Source organism: Homo sapiens, chromosome 12 (genome assembly GCF_000001405.40).
Source record: "Homo sapiens chromosome 12, GRCh38.p14 Primary Assembly".
NCBI classification, from domain to species: Eukaryota; Metazoa; Chordata; class Mammalia; order Primates; family Hominidae; genus Homo; species Homo sapiens.
The window spans coordinates 18,714,363-18,735,533 of record NC_000012.12 but is presented as its reverse complement, the minus strand read 5'-3'; the positions used below and the strand labels follow the sequence as shown (position 1 = coordinate 18,735,533).

General features: G+C 35.1%; 2 protein-coding genes across 20 annotated transcripts in view, besides 1 other annotated feature; one reads left to right on the top strand and one right to left on the bottom strand.

Moving 5' to 3' along the window:
- The window catches only part of PLCZ1 (phospholipase C zeta 1), a 92,404-nt gene that overhangs the window by 2,479 nt on the left and 68,754 nt on the right, over positions 1-21,171 (top strand). For 6 of the 15 annotated variants that reach the window (XR_001748912.2, XM_017020178.2, XM_017020177.2 and 3 more), the window contains exons 4-5: positions 11,992-12,223; positions 15,902-16,103. The exons of 4 other annotated variants lie outside the window; for them this stretch is intronic. Coding sequence is in view for 8 of the 11 variants with exons in the window: in XM_017020178.2 (XP_016875667.1) it covers positions 11,992-12,223; positions 15,902-16,103 (434 nt within the window). In the remaining 3 variants the exon portion in view is untranslated. Of the gene's footprint in view, positions 1-11,988; positions 12,224-15,901; positions 16,104-20,760; positions 20,879-21,171 lie in introns of those variants that run through there. 5 more of the 15 variants (XM_017020185.3, XM_017020184.2, NM_001330774.2 and 2 more) reach the window with 4 other exon arrangements.
- The window catches only part of PIK3C2G (phosphatidylinositol-4-phosphate 3-kinase catalytic subunit type 2 gamma), a 483,857-nt gene continuing 471,402 nt past the window's right edge, over positions 8,717-21,171 (bottom strand). For 4 of the 5 annotated variants that reach the window (XM_017019471.2, XM_047429008.1, XM_017019473.3 and 1 more), the window contains one exon: positions 18,673-19,848. In XM_017019471.2, coding sequence (XP_016874960.1) covers positions 19,678-19,848 — 171 coding nt within the window. In that variant the 3' untranslated portion in view covers positions 18,673-19,677. Of the gene's footprint in view, positions 10,531-18,672; positions 19,849-21,171 lie in introns of those variants that run through there. The other variant, XM_047429007.1, reaches the window with a different exon arrangement.
- Positions 10,660-11,859: an enhancer, noted in NCBI's record as "P300/CBP strongly-dependent group 1 enhancer chr12:18876609-18877808 (GRCh37/hg19 assembly coordinates)". NCBI's record gives its function as "activates an origin of replication core promoter dependent on BRD2, BRD4, P300/CBP, MED14 and CDK7 cofactors, with strong dependence on P300/CBP, by STARR-seq in HCT116 cells {active_cell/tissue: HCT116}" and the evidence as "EXISTENCE:reporter gene assay evidence [ECO:0000049][PMID:35650434]".

Genomic DNA, 21,171 nt, shown 5'->3' with positions numbered 1-21,171 from the left:
GTGCAGTGATTTGTACCTGTAATCCCAATGCTTTGAGAGGCCAAGGTGGGAGGATCACTTGGGGCTAGGAGTTTGAGACCAGCCTGGGTAACATAGTGAGACCCTGTTTGGAGACTTAATCAGTAATCAAAAACTGCCCAACGAAGAAAAGCCCAGGACCAAATGACTTCACAGGTGAATTCTACCAAAGATTTAAAGAAGAATTAATACCAATCCTTCTGAAATGCTTCTAAAAAATAGAAGAGGGAACACTTCCAGTTTTATTTTATAAGGTCAACATCATCTGGATACCAAAGCTGGACAAAGGCACCACAAGAAAACAAAACTTTAGGCCAATATTCCTGATGAACATAGATGCAAAATTCCCCAACAAAATAATAGCAAATCAAATTTATAGCACTTTAAAAGGATCATATTCCATGACCAAATAATATGTGTCCCTGGCATGCAAGGATGGCTCAACATACAGAAATCAATCAATGTGATACACCACATTAACAGAATGGAGATAAAAATCACATGATTATCTCAAAAATATAGAAAAAGCATGTGACAAAATTTAACTCCCTTTCATGATAACTCTCAGTAAATTAAGTATAAAAGGAACTTAACACATTAAAGTCCATATATGAAAAGCTTACAGCTAATATCATATAAAATAAACTGAAAAGATTTTTTTCTAAGATCTGGGAAAAGGCAAGGATGCCCACTCTCACCACTTCTGTTCAAGATGGTACTGGAAATCCTAGCCAAAGCAATTAGTCAAGAAATGAAAATAAAAGGCAATTAAATTAAAAAGGCAGAAGCAAAATTATCTCTATTCACTGATGGCACAATCTTACATGTAGAAACTCCTGAAGATTTTGTTAACAAACTACCACAAGGCCGGGTGTGGTGGCTCATGCCTGTAATCACAGCACTTTGGGAGGCTGAGGCAGGTGCATCACCTGAGGTCAGGAGTTCGAGGCCAGCCTGGCCAATGTGTTGAAACCTCGTCTCTACTAAAAACACAAAAATTAGCCAGACGTGGTAGTGCACGCCTGTAATTCCAGCTACTCAGGAGGCTGAGGCACGAGAATTGCTTGAACCTGGGAGGCAGAGGTTGCAGTGAGCTGAGATTGCGCCACTGCACTTCAGCCTGGGCAACAGAGCGAGAGTCCTCAAAACAACAACAACAACAACAACAACAAAAACAACTACTAGAACTATTAAATTCAGTAAAGTTGCAAGATACAAAATTACTATGTAAAAATGTGTTGCATTTCTATTCATTAACTATGTACTATCCAGAAAGAAATCAAGAAAACATTTTCATTTACACTAGCATTAAAAAATATATAATGCTTAGGAATAAATTTAACCAAGGAAGTGAAAAACTGGCACACCAAAACTGTAAACCACTGATGAAATAAACTTTAAAAGTTACAAATAAACAGAAACACATCCCATGTTAATATATCCATACTACCCAAGGTGATCTATAGATTCAATGTAATCCCTACTAAAATCCCAATGGCATTTTTGTTTTGTTTTCACAGAAACAGAAGAAACAATCCTAAAATTCATATTGGAATCAAAAAAGACCCTGAATAACCAAAACCAATCTTAAAAAAGAAATATAAAGGTGGAGGCATCACAATTTTTGGTTTCCAAATGTATTTAAAATACTTCAGTAATTGAGGCAGTATGGTAGGGGCATAAAAACAAATATGTAGACTAATGGAACAGAATAGAGAGCCCAGAAATAAACCCCTTCATATATAGTCAACTGATCTTCTACAAAGGTACTAAAATACATAATGGGGAAAGGATAGTCTCTCCAATAAATGGCATTGGGAAAACTGGATATTCGCATGTAAAAAATGAAATTGGACTCTAACCTTACCCCATATGCAAAAATCAACTCAAAATCCATTAAAGATTTAAACTTGAGACCTGAAACTATGAAACTCATAGAAGAAAATAGGAAAAAAGCTTTTTGACATTGGGCTTGGCAAGAATTTCTTAGATATGATTCCAAAGGGATTGAAACAAAGACAGGTAACAAAAACTTGTCTAAAAATAGAAAAGTGGGATTACATGAAACAAAGTGGCTATTGCACAGCAAAGGAAACAATCAACAAAAATGTAAAGCCAATTTACAGAATAAAAGAAAATATTTGCAAGCCACATATCTGATAAGGGATAGTATCCAAAATTGAATCCCACAACTCCATAGAATGGAAACCCCAAGTAACTTGATTAGAAAATGTGCAAAGGGATTGTATAGACATTTCCCTAAAGAAGCTATACAAATGGCCAACAGGTATATAAATAAGTGCTCAACATCACTAATCATCAGGGAAATGCAAATCAAATCACATGAGCTATCACCTCATACCTGTAAGAATGATTATTATAAAAAAGTACAACAGAAAAGTGTTGGCAGGAATGTGGAGAAAAGGGAACTCTTGTATACTATTGGTGTGAATGCAAACTGGTACAACCTTGTGGAAAACAATATGGAGGTTCCACAAAAATTAAAAATAGAACTGCCATATAATCCAGCAATCCCATTTCTGGGTATATACCTAAAGGAATTGAAATCAAGAGATATTTGTACTCCTGTATATATTGCAGCATTATTTTATGATAGCCAAGATATGCAAGCAATCTAACTGTCCATTATGAATGAATAAAGAAAATATAGTATGTACATACAATGAAATATTACTCATCCTGAAAAAATAAAGAATATCTTGTTATTTGTGACAACATGGGTAAAACTAGAGGACATTATATTAAGGGAAATAAGCCAGACACAGAAGGACAAATAGTGCATGACACCACTTATGTGAGGAATCTAAAACAGTCAAACTTATAGAAGGAGAGAGTTGAATGATAGTTACCAGGGCTGGGGGAGGGGAAAACAAGGAAGTGTTAGTCAAAGGGTATAGTTTCTGTTATACGGCACAAATAAGTCCCAGCGAGCTACTGAACAGCATAGTACCCGTGATAAATAACATTGTGTTGCATATTTAAAAGTGTAAGAGGGTAGATCTTAGATTGAGTATTCTTATCACACACAAAAGTTATAAAGAGGGTCCAGGCGTGGTGGCTCATGCCTGTAATTCCAGCACTTTGTGAAGCTGAGTTGGGCAGATCGCCTGAGCTCACGAGTTCGAGACCAGTCTGTACAACATGGTGAAACTCGTGTCTACAAAAAGTACAAAAAATTAGCTGGGCCTGGTGGTGTGTGCCTGTGGGCCCAGCTACTTGGGAGGCTGAGGTGGAAGGATCCTTTGAGCTCAGGAGATAGAGGCTGTAGTGAGCTGTGATGGCACCGCTGCTCTCTAGCCTGGGTGACAAAGAGAGACCCTGTGGGGAAAAAATAATTAAGAGGGCAGAAGGAAACTTTTGGAAGGAATGGATATGTTTATGGCATAGATTGTGTTGATAAATTCATGGCTGTATACTTATCTCCAAACTCATCAAGTTGTATACATTAAATATGTGTAGCTTTCTGTATGTCAATTATACCTCAATAAATGGATTTAAAAAATCAAGAAGGAATAAGTAATCTGAAAACATAGGTTATTTCACTTATTCCACAAAAGAAAATCATCCAAAAATTATCTTTGTTTGAAGAATAACTAGTAGGAGGGAAACCTGGCTCAATGCTGTCACTAGATGACAGAAGGAAAGATCATTAACAAAATTAGGAAAAGCCATTTTAGCTGAGTTTTGTACTAGGAAGATGACAAATTTCTTGGAGAATGAGGCAAGAAAGCTACACTGGCCAATCCAGATCAATAGGAACCTTAAAATCCTGCGTATGATTTTGTTTTTTGAAAGTGAGTACTCAGATAACACAATCTGTGTTGAAGTTGTTATTGGTTACACAAACTGGGAAAGGTCTGATATTTTACCCTCCCTGCAAGCTACCAATTGGCCTGATGTAGCTCCATGGAAGCTGGTGGAAGCAGGCTTGTGCGTCAAAAAAAAAAAAAAAAAAAAAAAAGACAGCTTATTACTCACAGAAATGACAGTTGTCAGAGTATTAGCATTTTGACGTTATTTCCCCAAGCCCCAGTTTTTAAAGTGTGGTACGAAGAGGAACAAGTGACACACAGTGAGTTGCATTATAGAGTAGGTACCTTAAGCTTAAGGAACCTGGGCCTTTTATGGTGGGCAGTAAGCCTACCTGATCTTTGCCCTGTAGGCTGTCATCATTATTATAGGAAACAGTAAACAAAACTGCTTTTTTTCCTCTGGAAGGAGACAGTATCTTTACGAAAGCTGTTCGCTATACAAATGTCCTTGAAAATCTAGTATGGAAGAAAAGCAATCAATACCTCTGCTCAGAAAACACATAGAAACACGAGAGACCTATGGAGAATTGTCTTCCAACAACCACTTCTCTCAATAACATTTAGCCCTCAAGTTTACAAACCACAAAGAGGAGGTTAAAAAAGAAAAGTTGTACTTCTCAGGAGACCCCAGTGAAAACCAAAGTTGCAGAACTGTGTCTCTGAATCCAAGCAGTGCATGTGGCCATAAGGTATCAGAATTTTAATCGATTCATGGCTAATACCACATTCAAAGAACACAAGTTTTTATGAACATCTTTACATGTAGGATTTTTCCTCCGGTAGTATCTTCCAAAGGGAGAAAAGCTATTGCTTCTCGATTTATTAAAATTTACATTAAAGGCAAAATAAAAATAGTAATATATTGAAATCTGTATCAAATGTGAAATGTAAATATTATTCAGTGATTATCAAGTTTCTTTATGTTATCTTCAGGGCAGAGATATCTGAAGTGAAATTTAGTAAAATACATGTCATATTTAAAAGCATTACATAGAATGCTCAACCATTATAAAAGTACGGAAATGGCTCACTAATTGAAATGTATGATTACGGACATGAGCAGGCCTGAAGATCTATTGTTTAGCAAAGTGTTTCTGGAGTGGCTATTAATATAATATTAATTATAAAAATTAGAGACACAGAGTTTGCTAAGAATACTTCAAAAACCTCCCTAAAATAACTGTAAGTACTTTAGAAGCATAAATTACATATAAACAAGGCTGATAATCATGATAAACTATTCTTATCTAGTAACATAATTCTAGAACCACTAATTTAAAACTTTGTCACCTTAGGCTAAATTGCCATGTATGCATTAAAATGTTGATTAAGTAGAATCCTTAGGGAAGGTGTATTGGTTAACTGTATTTTATGGATAGCTGAAGATTAAGCTGCTTACACATTCAACTCACTTGCTTCAACTCTTGTTGCTAATTTTTTCTCATTTTATGGATGCACCTTTTCCCAGAGTAAATAAAATGAGTCCTACGTGACCAAAATCTTCTAGTCTCTCAGAGCACTAGAGATTCTTGGCTGTAAGACATCCTAGCTGTTTACTACTTGGCAAGTTAAAAATCTCTCTGAGCAAATTTCTTAATCCGTAGAATGGGACTAACATAGCTATCTCACATGATTGTTGTGGGTATTAAATAAGATATTATGTATGAATATACCTAGTACTAGGCATGACACAAAATAGGTGCTCAATAAATATATGTAGACGCTGCATCAGTTAAGTATACACAATTGAATTACATTTATTCATTATCTAAGCTGACGTAAATTCTGATGTGAGTTTATTTTCTTACAAGGTGACATTTTATTATAAATTTGAGTAAAGAAAATATAACTTTGTGATCTTGGCAATATATTCTGAACTTCTTTCTACAAGATTAATTATTGATTCATGGCTTGAGCAGCAATTCTCTAAGATTTTTTAAATCCCTTTACTAAAAAAGCCTATTGCTTTTATCATGCAATAGTCTTTATAGCATTTAAAATATTTTATAGGAAATATATGTTATTTCAATACACAGTATGAGTGTTGGATTACACTTTTGATTGTTGGTTGAGTAAGAAATAGTATCCTTTGTAATTTCAGGATTTTTTAAATTGGATTTGCCCTGAGTCTTCAAATTCTTTAAGGAATTAATAGCCACTATTAAATCTATAGTATGTGGTGACACTCTGTAGGAAACTGTGAACTGTAAAAAATGAATAAAGTGTTATCTTTCTTTTAAGGGCAGAAAAAGGAATGCAGAAATTACTGTTTTATAAGTAGCTTATAATATATCTCGTGGGTAATACAGGGAATCTGAGAAGAGACTCTATTTAGTTTGGGCTTTTATAGAAGATGCCATGATGGAAGTGGCATTCTTGCTGGACCTTAAATAAGAAGGAATATGTATGGAGTATGTGGAAAGAGTGCATGGAGAATAAAAAGTAATCAAATATGACTGGAGTACAGGATGCATGAAAGGAAGTGGTAAGAAAGAGTTGCAAATGACAGTTATAGCCAGATGATGGAAACCTTGAATGGTAGACCATGGAAATTATATTTCCTTTTGCAGGCAAGGGGTACTCACTGAAATTTCTTGAGTAAAGAAATATTACATATTTTAGGATAAATAACATGGCACTAGTTAGAATGGATTGGAAGCTAGTATTCAGAGAGAGAGAGAGAAATTATTTCTCTACTGATTCTGCCCTACAAATCCGCTACCTGGAATCAACTCAGCCACTTATATTCTGTTTGGTTCCACCTCAAGTTTATGGTTTCTTACTTTAGTTGGTCCTCCACAATGTAAACTTTTAAAAAGTCTCATCTAAAAAATAAATAGCACCATATCCTCTTCTAATGTTACATTCCCTGTTTTAGCAGATAAACCAAAAGAATCCTTTACATTTCTTTCTCCACTCGTTCAATGATCCATTGCAATCTGTTTTGCTTTCATACCTATCTCGAAAATCTTTTTAGGTCATAAATGCTAAATCCACTGGTTAGCCTCTCTGTGCATTTCACTTATCCCTTTTTATAAAAAATTTCCCTGTTCTGACTTCTATGACATCATTCTCTCCCAATTTTCTCTTCAAATCTGTGATCAGTCCTTCTCCTTCTGTCCTGTGACCACTCCTTCTGCTCTCCTCTTAAAGTTGAGCTCTTTATATCCTTTATTTTTACATTACAAACTTTTCCTGAGCTATCTTATTGACTCTTAACGGCTACTTCTTAAATAGGAACAAGTTCCAAGTTTTCTATCCTGAACGTTGAAGACATGTAAATGGCACCATTTGTTCATCATCTGCCATAATGTAGACACTGATTAGGTGTTGCACTCATTTTATTAAAAACATATAAGGAAGTTATTGTTAGCTTCTTTTTATACATAAGGATATTGAGTGTAAGAATGTTGATATAATTTCTTCATATCTCACATAACAGTAGAAACTCATGTCTGGGTCTGTCTGACTGCAAAGTTATCATTCTACTTTCTTCTATAGCATATTGTTTTCCTCTATTCCTAACACACAACCATTTGCCTGCTGGCTGTCTCTGTTTAGATGTCATCTCAGATGTACTTCAAATTTAATATGTTTAAAGTGAAACTCGTCTTTCCCTCTTAAACTGTCTTTCCTCCTTTATTTCTTTGCTTGGTGATCTCGGCACCATTCTCAGTTATCTAAGCAGAAATTGAAGAGGTTTTCAGACTCTTCTTCTGACCCTATCTTTTTAGGTCCATATACTTGCTACACCATGTCAATTGCTCTTGAACTACTTACTACTTATTGTGGTCCTCAGACCAGAAATGAAGCTGATTGCATTTCAACAAGTCCCAAGTTGACTCATATGCATATCAAAGTTGGAAAAACCCTACAGATTGGTTTGTTTTAAATCCCAACATCTACCTTCTACACTGCTGCCAGAGTAATCTTTCTAGAACGAAAATCTATGGGATTTCTCTCTTAAAACTGATCAATAACTCTTTATTCTTTCCAAAGAAGTCTAAATTTCTCACTGTGGCTTCCGAGGAACCCTGGGATTCAGCTGTGCTTCCTGCCTTATCTGCTCCCGCAGCTTCACTAACATTCTCTCTAATTACACTCTTCTGTTTTGTACTTTGTACTTTCATTTGCTCTGATCTTAACAAATAGAATTAGCCCCTTTCCTCCCTAATTTCAGGCAAATATCTTCCTTCTCACCTCTGAAGACTCAGTTCCAGGATCACTTTTTCTATAAAGATTCTCCTTTGACCCTCCAGGAAGAATTGTCCAACTTTCCTTATTGTGTCTATTATCTATAGAATTTATTTTATTTTTAAAATGTTAAAAAAATTAGAGAAAAGGTCTTGCTCTGTCACCCAGGCCAGAGTACAGTGGTATGATTATAGCTCACTCTAGCCCTGGACTCCTGGGCTCAAGGGATCCTCCTGCCTCAGCCTCCAGAGTAGCTGGGACTACAGGCAGGCACCAATGCACTTGGCAAATTGTTTTTTTTTTTACATTTAGAGACAGGGTCTCACTATGTTGCCCAGGGTGATCTCGAACTCAGCCTCAAGTGCTCCTCCCACCTTGACTTCCCAAAGCTTGGGGATTGCAGGCATGAGCCATTGTGCTCAGCTACAAAGATTATATTTCGGCACCTGTATACTTCCATGCCTACTTTCTTTTTCTAGACTATCTGCTTCCAGAGGGCACTGACAATATGTTACTTTTGCATCCTTGTTACCCAGTATAGTATCTGACTCATATATTTGGTAAGGAGGAAAGGGAAGAAGAAAAGGAAACAGGAAAACTGCCAAACAATTTAAACTAGCGCGAGAGTTTGGGAAAAAAGAAAGTGGCAAGTCATATCATTTCCTGTAATGTAATTTGAATTTACTTAGGCTTTATTTTTAGTGTAATTTTAGATACAACCAACTCTAAAATGCTGTATTTTACATTAAAAGTAAATTCTGTTTTGATAAATCAGCTTTCTCATCACATTATTTTAAATAACATTTCATATTTTTACTAGCAAACTGAGCATTGGAAATGGAAAATGGTGACAATATGGAAAGCCTTCATTCTGTTTCTGAAAGTGTACACTCAGAATGACAATCAATAGAATTATTTTGAATTTTATTTTCCCTTGTTTATTCAATCACTCATTTAAACGTATAGTAATTAAGCTCCTCCTCTAGGTAGGTCCAGTAGTAGGCATTGGGAATAAAAAGAATAAAATGTCTACCTTCATGATGTTCACGGTCTTGAAGCATATGGTGTATTTCTAAATATACAAGACATTGAATGAATTGTTTGGGAAAGTGCTTTTTGTAATGCTTTGCAAAGAATAACCACTTAAGGAACGTTTTTTAAACAGGAGACAAATGATTTTATTACTCTTATTTTATGTTGTATGTTTAATGATTAATACGAAACATTTTAAAGGTGGTAGTGAACCCTGAGGTGGGGCCTGAGATTTTGCATATCTTCTGGGATATGCATTTTTAAATCTCTTTTCCTATCCTCCTTAAGTCTAGGGAGATACTTAATTCCTTTATGTAATTATTGTCTAAATGCACTTATTTCATCAGTTTCATAAAACTGGGTGGTAGGCCACACTCTGAATATCTTCAGTCAGGCACTTTTTTGAGTCCTGAGGATACAAGAAACAAATGACAAACTTGCTGTCTGAGGCAATTCTAGAATGAATATAGAAAAAGGCTGTCATTCCAATCTAATAAGGCCTGTAAGAGAAGAAAGTGGAGTCTTCTAAGAACCCAGAGAAGGGATATTTTAATGCAACCTGGGGAGGAGATACAGAGGAAGATTTCTAGAGTGGGTGACACTTTTTCAAGGATTAGTAGAAATTGGTAATTTAAACAGAAAGAAGGATATTCCGGAAAGAAAAACAAACAAACAAAAAACAACAACGAGAAACATAGGTACCATAGCAAGAGATGGTTTGGTACCTGTACTGCAACTAATTCAGAGCACCTGAAGTGTGAGGTGGAAGGAGGAAAAAGATAAGAGCAGAAATCATCCATGACATTTTAGATGGCCTTGGATGCTACACAATACAGTTGGGGTTTTGTCTTGAAGACAAAGGAGGTACAGTGAGAACTTTAAGAGGGAGTTGAGATGGTCAGATTTGCAATTTACAGAATTGATTTCTGCATATATACTGTTAATCTGTGTAATGGTATACTGACTTTTTTTCTTCCAGCTGCTCCTCTGGGTGGTCTTAGAGTTAGTTAAAAATCCTGGTCTACCTGTGTGGCTGGGGACAATTTACCTAAGATTTTTGTGCTTCAGTTTTCTCTTACAGAGGAGTCTAGCACGTTGGCAGTCTGAGCTGCTGTCACGTGCCTCAGCACTCAAATTGCACCTTCTTTCTTATTGCTTTTCTTCTCCCCGCTTCCCTTGATCATGATGCTACCACGTCCTGCTTTTCTTCCCCATTGTCACTTGCTCCTTGTTGCTTTCCTTTTCCATTCTCTTTCTACTAAAATTAGATCTTCCCCTCTTCAGTGATACAACTCTCACTATTCTGTGTGGTTTTCATTTTTCTGTAATTTGATTAACATTTGACTTTGAATTCTTCTTTGATTTTGATCAACTATAGTGATTCTTTGGATTTGTGGAATTTTGTTTGGACTTATATCTCCAATTCTTTTTAGTACAAGATGGCAACTTTGACCTTTTAGAAGAACACGAGACAAAACAAATTATCAGAGAACATTTCGGATGACCAAGCTTATACTCTGTTTGAAAGTAATAAAACTGTCATTATTCAGTGAATAATGTATATTTTATTTTATGCTGCTATTCAGTAGAACCATAATTTTTTATTTACATAATTTTCTATAACCAAAATTTTCAGGGATTACGGGCACATTTTAAATTTTTATTGACTTGCTTAAGATTTTATGACAAATAAGAAGTGAGATAAGGCTAAAATGAAATTAATTCTATAACATCCGCTTCCACAGACCTCAAAATCCAGAATTTAAAAACAGTAAGTTGAAGCATGTTATTTAAGTAAGGTAATGAACAATACGCATGAATTACTTTAAGATTATATAATTTTAAGGTGCTATCATTGTTTAATCAGCTCTGGAGACCCCGCATCTGATTTGACAACCACAGATCCCACCATGACACAATGCCCCTTCAACACATGCTTCTTGCATTCAAGCTGTTTACAATGTAACAAGAGAGTTAAGATGTTATAAAAAAGCATTTTTTAAAAAATTAAATCTCCCTCTTAGCTGAAATTCCTATTTCCCAGTTTTTTTATTTGTTAGTGATACTATAGTTCTACCAGTTTTTCTAACTCTCCCTGACCCCAGTCATTCTTGAGTTATCTCTCTCATTTGTCTAAAATTTCATTGTGTCGAATTCTTCTGAATTCTTCCTTCGTCATTTCACCGAGGTCTGTTCTTTAGTGTCTATTCACCACCTCCCACTTGAATTTCATCTTATCTGCTCTTACCTGCAGTTCTCTAACTCTTCCAATTGGAAATGCACAACTAATCAAACCAATCTTCTATTTTTGGTATTGATTTTCCTATTCAGAAACTCCCAATCATCCTGGTACTTTTAACAACTTGCCTTTTCTCGTAAAGTTCAAATATGACCTTTCGAATCCACTCTTTCTTATTGGAACTCATCTTGTTTGTACCTGCCCCAAATCCTTCAATGATTACTCAGACTCCACTTCCTCAAGGTATTGCATAACTACTACAGCTTCTGCAGTTTACATTGATCTTGAATGTGTCTGACTCACTCTGACATATATGGTCCAGGCTGCACACCAGTGGCATGAGATTACACACTGCCTGGTATGGTTTTAAGAAGATATTGAAGTAAAGTGGAATACAAAAATGAAATGTGAAATTGAAAGACAACCTGGAATCCTCATTTTCTCCCACATTCCTTTCTTTATCCCTATAACCACTGGGTTTCAAGAGTTAACTAACCCTTTTCCAATTTTGACGTCACTCCATGCAGCTTTGTATATTTTATCTTCAATAAGAATCCAATGTAATTTTCATCTTCTTTCAAGTATAAATTACTACATGTTACATAAATACTCTAATATTCATTTTATGTATTTTTTATACTCACAATGTGAGCCCACCAGTCATTTTTTTAGTAGGACAATGACAGGCTGAAACAAGGAAGAATCACCATAGAAGAATTTAGAGCAATTTATCGAATTATCACGCACAGAGAAGAAATTATTGAGATTTTCAACACATATTCTGAAAACCGGAAAATTCTTTTAGCAAGTAATCTGGCTCAATTTCTGACACAAGAACAATATGCAGCTGAGATGAGTAAAGCTATTGCTTTTGAGATCATTCAGAAATACGAGCCTATCGAAGAAGGTATGTTTGCATTTCAAACTTTTATCGGAATATTTATATGTGAAGTATTTTTTCTTTTTTCAAAAATTATTTCAAAGCAAAGTATTTTTATGAATTGTGGTTATCAAATTACCGTTTTTGGATGGGTCAAATATCTTTGAGAAAATATATTTTATAGAATTGATACCTTTTAGAATGCTATAGTATGCAACCATGACATCCTTTCCTATACATTGTTCAGCTCCTTTCTTTTAACTGCTTCCACGTATCTCTCAAGTGTTCAGAAATGAGCTTGGAGGTGAAAGTAAGACAATGATTCTATTACATGTACCCTATTAGAAGAAAGTATCTTGATCTCATGAATAAGATAAAACCCCAGTTATAGGTGGTCTTCCATTTTAATGCATTATATTATTGAAAATATCTATGAAAATTAAATGTGCTAAATGAAAAAAAATTCTAAGAAGAAAATATTATAAACTGATGAATTTTACTTTGTTTATAAATATAATTATCTACAACATTTCGTAAATATATATACTTTTCGCTTGTTCTTCATTTTTGAACACATAGTGATTTGGTTTAAATTAAATGACCATTTAGGCTAACGATCTGTCATAGAATTTGTGATCTTTGTTCCATCTTTCAATGGGTAAAAACACTTCACAGTTTTTCATTTATGTTCATTTTGAAATAAAATTATAAACACATAATACAATAAAATAATCATATATGGTACCAAAACATTGTTAAAGCACAATGTTTGACCTTACAGAAACTAACTGATAGAATAGCTCAAAATATTCACCTAGGAGGGGCGTATGAAAGTTCTAGTTTTGCCTCTTTAAGTTGGTTTAGGCTACCAATGTTTAACACATGATAATGTAGTTTCTAAAAAACCAAACTTATTTCTGCATTGGATCATACATTCATAATTTATTCAAATATTTATCTGTAGTAACCAAGTATGGTTTTGGGGGCTGAAGATATAGTGAAGAATAAGGCAATTAGGTCTTGAATTCCTGATGGGTTGGAGGAAAGTTGACAGTAAATAATGAAGCATGTAAAAGGATATCTTAAGAGAGTGCTATGTGATACGGAAACATAGAGCAAGAAGGTGATGGAGAGTAAATGACCTGGGAGGCCTAGTTCAGGTTGGGTGTTCAGAAGAACCCTCTCTGAGAGTGTGAGATTTGAGCTGAGACTTAAATGACAAGAAGGGACAAGTTATATGACAAAATGGGAGAAGTGTCTAAGGTCCAAGAAAGGGAAGCATTAAATCTGAATTGAATAACTGAAGGAACAGGAGGACTGTGTGGTTAGAACTTTGAGAATGAGAGAGAGATGAGTTTGGAGAGACTGGCAGAGATCAAACCATATAGGTTCTTATAGGCCACAATAAAGATTTTGGCTTCATGACTCAGTGCCATGCAAAGATTTTGAAGGGTTCTCGATATTGTAGTGGTGTCATTGAGTTGAGTCTTAGTGACAATTTGGTCTCAGCACCATTAAATTTTTGCAGGTTAGCAGCAAGGTAAAGAGCTTGCACAAGAATACTAAGCGACTATATCACTAAGCAGAACTGATGAGTTCAGATGACTTTTTTTTTTTTTTTTAATAGCAAGACTTTCTCTAAGGAAGTAGTGAATTGATTTATGTTCTGGCTCAAGCTCTTTATGTCATTGCCAACTGGAAACAACCAGTTTACAGATGAGCACTTTAAGTAGCACTGATCTAGAGAATATTACCAAAACAATTACTTTGGCACTGTAAACTTCAGGTGGTAAATTAAAAGATACAAATGAGATGTTGGGATGGAGGCAGTGACACTTTGGAATTGTGTTTGCATTTTAACTACAATATTATACTGTTCATCCATTTCCTCTTTTGAGCCTTCACCTGCCTCAAATACTCTCCAACACAGCCAGGACCTTGCATTTCATTTACATGATTATTGATCACTTTGGTGTCTTATTAAGGCCAATTTGAATTATGATCTTATAGTTCCAAATGCTGCCAAGTTCCTCAGCCTCATCCCTCATTGGTATGTGACAGGCACCAAATGAGGTTTTTAAAAATCCATGTGATTAATCCTTATTTCAAACTGGTAGTTTTTAAGGGAACAAAATGAGTTTATTTTCTATTCCATTACCAAAGATATTTATTTAATTATTCAGTAGTTCAAAAGGGCTAAGCCAATTACTGCTAATTAAACAGGGAAAAATAATAAATGTATGCAAGTCATTACTGTTACAATGCATGATTCATTTGCTCCATACACTTCTATCTTCCTAAATTTATATGGCTTGAAATAGAGGGTTTGTATACCTATAAAAATTTCATTTATTTTCTTCTAGCTTTTATTTTTTTAAACCAAAATAGTAATAGCATTTTGAATGCTGTCTTCTTCATTTTTATGATGTCATAACATTTACTTACATCACTATATTTTTATGATACATTATTCTTAATGGCTGCTTAGTATTGTATCATATTTTGAGCTTTAATTTGTTTATTCCCCTGCACTTATCTTGCTTTTATAAATAATGCTAATGTGAGCATTCTTGTACATCACTGTCTGAGTCTCTACTTCCATAGGATAAATTCCTGGAAATAAAATTCTCTGCCAAAGATCACACTCTAATCAAGTGAATGCTCATGTCACCTTTTCTTTTTGGTTGAAATGAACTATCAACAGTAATAATAGCAACTAAAAATTTTAGAGTGAATATATAAGGGTAGATCCTATTATTACCCCCATTCCACAGATAGGGAGAGGTTAGCTAATATGCTCAAGATCATATAACAAGTTAAATGGATATGAGTCCAGGCTGTTTCCAGAGCCAGTCTTCTGCTTGATAGATATTTTGGTACATATTACAGTGAGTAAAACAGTTCAGAGATTAATTACTAAAGATGATCAGATACAAATGACCCAGAAATTCCATTCCTAGGCATGCACCATACAGAAATGTGTATATATTTGCACTAAAAGACATTTACTGGTTATTTTTGGCAGCACAATTTGTAGCAGCCCCAAACAGGAAATTATCTAAATGCCTATCAGTGATAGAATGAATAAATAAATTGTGGCATAGTCATACAATGGAATACTGTAAAGTAATGGGAATGAGCAATGTATAACTATAACTACATGCAACTACAAGAGTAAATCTTTGAAATAGAATGTTGAGTAAAAGAAACCAGGTACAAAAAATACATACTGTCTGAGTCAATTCATATAAAGTGCAACAACCAAAGAAAACTAATCTATGCTTTTCGAAGTCAGATCAGTTGATATACTTGGGTGTGGTGAGTGACTGGGAAGTTAGTCGGAGGCAGGCTTCTGGAACACTGCAATGCTTTGTTCCTCAACCTGTGTGCCAGTCATCCAGATGTGTAGCTTGTCGAAGTTCATTGGTCCATAATATATGTACTTTTCTTGTGTGTATTTTCAAAACATAAAAAAAGAGATAATTAAATAATATATTATTTACTTGAATGTTAATATGGAAGAACTGAAGGTTTTACTACAAAAATTTGTTTCCAAACAACATAAATATAGTATTAATATTAATTCTAAAGGAATATTTTAGAAATATGCTCTACTACTGAGTAAGTTTACAAGTGAGATGTAGTTTTTTATCTTGCTAATGGTATTTTTGCATCCTTTTAACTTATTTTATTTTATTTTTTTAGTTAGGAAAGCACACCAAATGTCATTAGAAGGTTTTACAAGATACATGGATTCACGTGAATGTCTACTGTTTAAAAATGAATGTAGAAAAGTTTATCAAGATATGACTCATCCATTAAATGATTATTTTATTTCATCTTCACATAACACATATTTGGTATCTGATCAATTATTGGGACCAAGTGACCTTTGGGGATATGTAAGGTATTTATTTTATTTTTAAATCTATTACATTTAAAAATACTTGGAAGTTCCTGGCAGTGTCTACCTCAGTAGGCAAGAGTGCACAATAAAAAGAAGACTCTCCATGTTATCCAAACTCATAGGGAATAGAAATTTTTACTTGTACATATCTTGAAGATCCAACATTTGGATGAAGTGGCAACGTAATTTATTGTATGCATTAGTATCATATGCTTTCCTTCTAATCCCACCTGTTAACCTCCTCTCCATGGTTATGGCCCCTCCGAAGTTTGCTGAATAACCTAGACACTTCTCAAAGGAAAGCATATGAAGAAGACTCTTATTTAGCTAGTCAGAAGATCCTCTATTTTAATAAGTATGGTTAAAATTAATTCTCAGACATCAGGACACATACTATAACTAAAGCCAACACATAAATACAGTACATTGTACAACTTCACATTTGTGGATAGTGATTTTTATAGACTTGTATGTTAAAGAGTTTACATAGATTAAAAATAATCCACATTGCATTGCTGATTTTATACCTAACAATGTACCTATCATACTGTTAATACCAGACTTCAGTTTAGTCAGTCAGCTCAGATACAGTGCAGAATAAGATTTTCAAAGCTGCTACATTTATCTGTGTACAAGCAGATAGACAGATAATAACCAGGTAAAAAATGTTTTCAAGGATGAATGAATCATACAGGGAAGATGAACTAAGGTAATGTGATAGAAAGTGACTGTGGGGTGGAGGGTGTTACTTAGGGTAAAGTTGTCAGAAAAGTCTTCTCAAGAGGTAAAAAGAAATAGTTGTGGCATGAGTGATGATACAGGAAGCCTTAGAAACATCTAGTGGGAAGGTCATGTTAAACAGAGTAAGTGATTGGCATGTTTAAATGAGAGAAAAATGGCAAATGTGGCTAGAGACAAGTCAATGGTGAATGAAGGGAGGTGAGTTTGAGGAGGTAGGCAGAGTCAGTTAATGAGGATCTTGTAGAGCATGGAGAGGAGAATAGATTTTATCCCAGCTGCACTGAGAAGGATTTTCCTTAAGATAGTGTCATAATTTGATTTATTCAATAATGTGGAGGAATGACTGATGGGGCCAGAGTGGAGGTAGAAGATGATTTGGGAAGATGGTGTAGCAGTGCAGGTGATATAGCTGGTGGTGAACTCATGAGGCAGCAGCTGAGATGACAAGTAGTTGAATTTGAGATACAGATGCTTCTCAACTTACAATGTGGTTACATCCCAATACTTGAAAATATCTTAAGTTGAAAATGCATTTAGTATATCTAATCTACCAAACATTATAGCTTCACCTAGCTTACTTTAACACACTTACACTAGCTTACAGTGAGGCTAAATCATATCCTCACTCCCAAAGCACCCCCAAAAACTGGCAACACAGGACACCATAGAGTTTTGGTTGTTTACCCTTGTGATCATGTGGCTGAGTGGGATCTGTAGCTCACTGCTGCTGCTCAACATCGTGCGACGGAGTATCTCATACAGCATATTGCTAGCTTGGGAAATGACCAATATTCAAAATTCGAAATGCGATTTCCACTGAATGCGTATTTTCTTTGCATTATCATAATGTTGAAAAATTATAAGTTGAACCATCATATGTTGGGGACCATGTAATTTTAGGAGGTATAGCCAACATGACTTACCAGGTGTTTTGAAGAGAGATATGAGGGAAAGAGAGGAATCAAGATGTTCATTCCAATAACCAAATTACAGTAATACTGTTGGCTGAGATGTTGAAGCCCAAGAGAGAAGCCCATTGTAGGGTTTGAGGCAACATGCAAGGGTTCTGTGGTTTCCATGCTAAGTTTGAGATATCAATTAGTTTCCAAATGGCTAGATCAGATAGTCTGATCTATGTGTGTGTGGAATTCAGAAGTTATCAGACTGGAAAAACAGAATTGGAAGTCATCAGCATATATGGGATATTTAAAACCAAATGATTAGATAGCATTACTTAAGGTAAAACCATCAATAGAAAAGATATCTTCTAATTCCAAGATAATATCAAACATACAAGTAAATATTGCTGCTTCTCTAATTTCAAATCTAAGTAAAGACATAAATTCACAAATTTTGAAATGTATTCATTTAGAATTCTGTAAAGACAGCCCAATTTATAGCTATAATTTCATTATAGGAATTTCCATTCATTTTTTGTTATTTTAATTTTTTTAAGAGAGAAAATATAAATATTAAAGCAGTTATATTTAGAAATATATATAATTACTTTTACATTACAAGAAAAAGTTTCACCCAACTGCAAATTTACACTTAAATTTAATTGTACTTTTCTCTGTTTCTTTATCCACCTTTGGAAGACACATGCTTAGTATGAAAGTCTTTCAAAATATTTTTCCTTGTGACTAGTGGCATAATATAGTGTTTAAATATCAATGTTTAAGTTTCTAGTGCTCATATTTCTTCCCTTTCCCTCATCTGTTAATTTTGTGACAGATATAACCATTGTGTATCTCGATTTCCTCATATTTACAAAAGGAAAAAGAATATTACTGCTGTAAAGCATTCAATATCTTAATGTACCAAAAGATTCTTAAATTTATTTTTATTACCAGTTAAAATTCAACTTCAAATAGAAAATAGTAACATTACACAATCTAAATAAGTTACAACAAAAATTACAGTATTTTATACCTTGATAGTTTATAGGAAGTATTTGAAGGAAATTTAAAGATAAATAGATGAAATAAAGTTAAGAGTGGAAATTTCATACCACAAAGTTCTGTACAAATTCTAGAAGGCATGGAGACTATCACCTGTAAGTTTCCTAGCAGCCGAAGTCAAGAGAGAAACAGGATTAGTTACAAGGTTTACAATGATCATAAAAAACAGCAGTGAATGAGAGAGAAATTTTCTCTGTTTCCAAAAAGGCTCAAAGTTAAATAGTGGAGTGTCCTCAACATCACCATTAGAGAAGGTAAAACTTTCTCTTGGGTGCCTCCACATGTAAGTGGTTGGCATGACATTGCATAATCACTGAAAACATTTTGCTGGTGACCAAACCATGTAGTCTGAATATGCAGTTTTGTAAAGGTTGACTTGATCCATGGATAAAATTAAAACTATCTAGAGAAGTAGCAAGAGCCAATATTATTTATGAAAAGTTTTCTTTCACAATATAGTTCTTGGTGGTTTTTTCCCCCCACCCCAAGTAAAAAGCTCAAGATTGTTCTCTGGCAGCACTCCAGAGAACTCATACTCTGTTGATAAAATAGGCAAGACAATTTACCGTCATAATCAAATACGAGTCAGGAAAGCAAACATTCTTCCATAGAAATTAAGAAACTTTACAAATAAACATTGTTTCTTCTCCAACTTAAAATCTAAATACATAAATAAATCCGTAAGCCAAGAAATATATTCATTTGCAATTCTACAAATGTAGCCGAATTTAGAACTTCTGCCTTATTTGCCCAGAGAGTATCCACGGGCCAGACAAGATTTCTCTATGAATATTCTAGGTCCATTTCTCCAATACAAAGACAATTAGTTAAGAAAACTCTGAAGTTTTACATTATAGTGCATTGCCACATGCCTAAATAAAGCACTGTGCACTTAAACAAACAAACAAACAAAAACCAAAGCAGATTACCCAAATGTGGTAGCATGTGACTGTAGTCCCAGCTAGTTTTGAGGCTGAAGTGGGATGATGACTTGCGTCTAGGACTTCGAGGCTGCACTTTAGTGTGGGTGACAGAGACCCCATCTTAAAAACAACAACAAAAAAACAAAAACAAAAACAGACACAAAAACAAAAAGCAAAATTTAAAAACCCCATCCTGGCTAACACAGTGAAACCCCGTTTCTACTAAAAATACACAAATTAGCCAGGCGTGGTGGTGGGCGCCTGTAGTTCCAGCTACTCAGGGGGCTGAGGCAGGAGAATGGCGTGAACCCGGGAGGCGGAGCTTGCAGTGAGCCGAGATCGCGCCACTGCACCCCAGTCTGGGCGACAGAGCGAGACTCTGTCTCTAAAAAAAACAAAAAAAAAACCAAACACCCCAAAAGAATTTATTAAGAATTTAATTATTCTTAATAAAGATTTGGCTTGGTTGGTGAAGCCTCCAAGTTAAATGAGATTCACCAATTCTCTTTCTCTCTAAAGCCTTACTTCCTCATCAGGGTTCTTCCAACTTTTATCTCTATTATTCCCAAGGGTATATAAGGTCTCTCTCTCTCTCTCTCTCTCTCTCTCTCTCCCTCCCTCCGCCCCCCCCCCCCCCACCGCCTTTCTCTCATATTTTAGGCAGTCCTGAATTCAGTACATTGACTTAGTGTTATAATTGTTTTATCTGTTCTCAGCTATGCTCTTACCTAAGTACTTCTTGGGTCATCTCCCTAGAAAGGGACTGCATATGATCGCCAAAGAAGAACTAAATCTAAAAGATTCATTTTCTCATATGGCCCATTTGGTGCTCTGTGCTTCTGTTTGGAAAAACTACTGATTTTATATAAGTACTTGGTGCTGGGACGACACTCCCTTCTCCAGGTTGTCATGACTTACAGCAGGGTTTCTCAAACTTTTCATTTTTTAAGTCAGATAATTCTTTGTTGTTGGGGGCTGTCCTGTGCATTGCAGAATGTTTGGCAGCATTGTGACCGTTACCTGCTAGATGCCAGTTACAAACCTCTCCCTATCTCCAGTTGTGGCAGCCGAAAATGTCTCCAGACATTGCCAAATCCCTCCTGTGAGGCAAAGTCGTCCCAGTGGAAAACCAGTAGCCTGTAGACATGGGGTAATTTAATGTACTTACTGGTTTTCTATGGAAAAATATCTCTATGTATGACAAGGGAGCTTTTTTAACCTCTTTCCTATTATGTATCGATTCTAAGATCCCGGTGTTTCAAGTCAGCTCTCAGATTCAGTTTTGTCTCTTCCAAGATCGCGTTTTAGATCACATTTTTCTGCCTTCCACTTCTCTTCTTACATCTCTACAGTTCCCATGTTTTCTAATATAAACACAATAAATATTTACTAACAGTCAGTTTATGTCAAACATGTTTTATGGACTGAAATTTCAATCCCTGC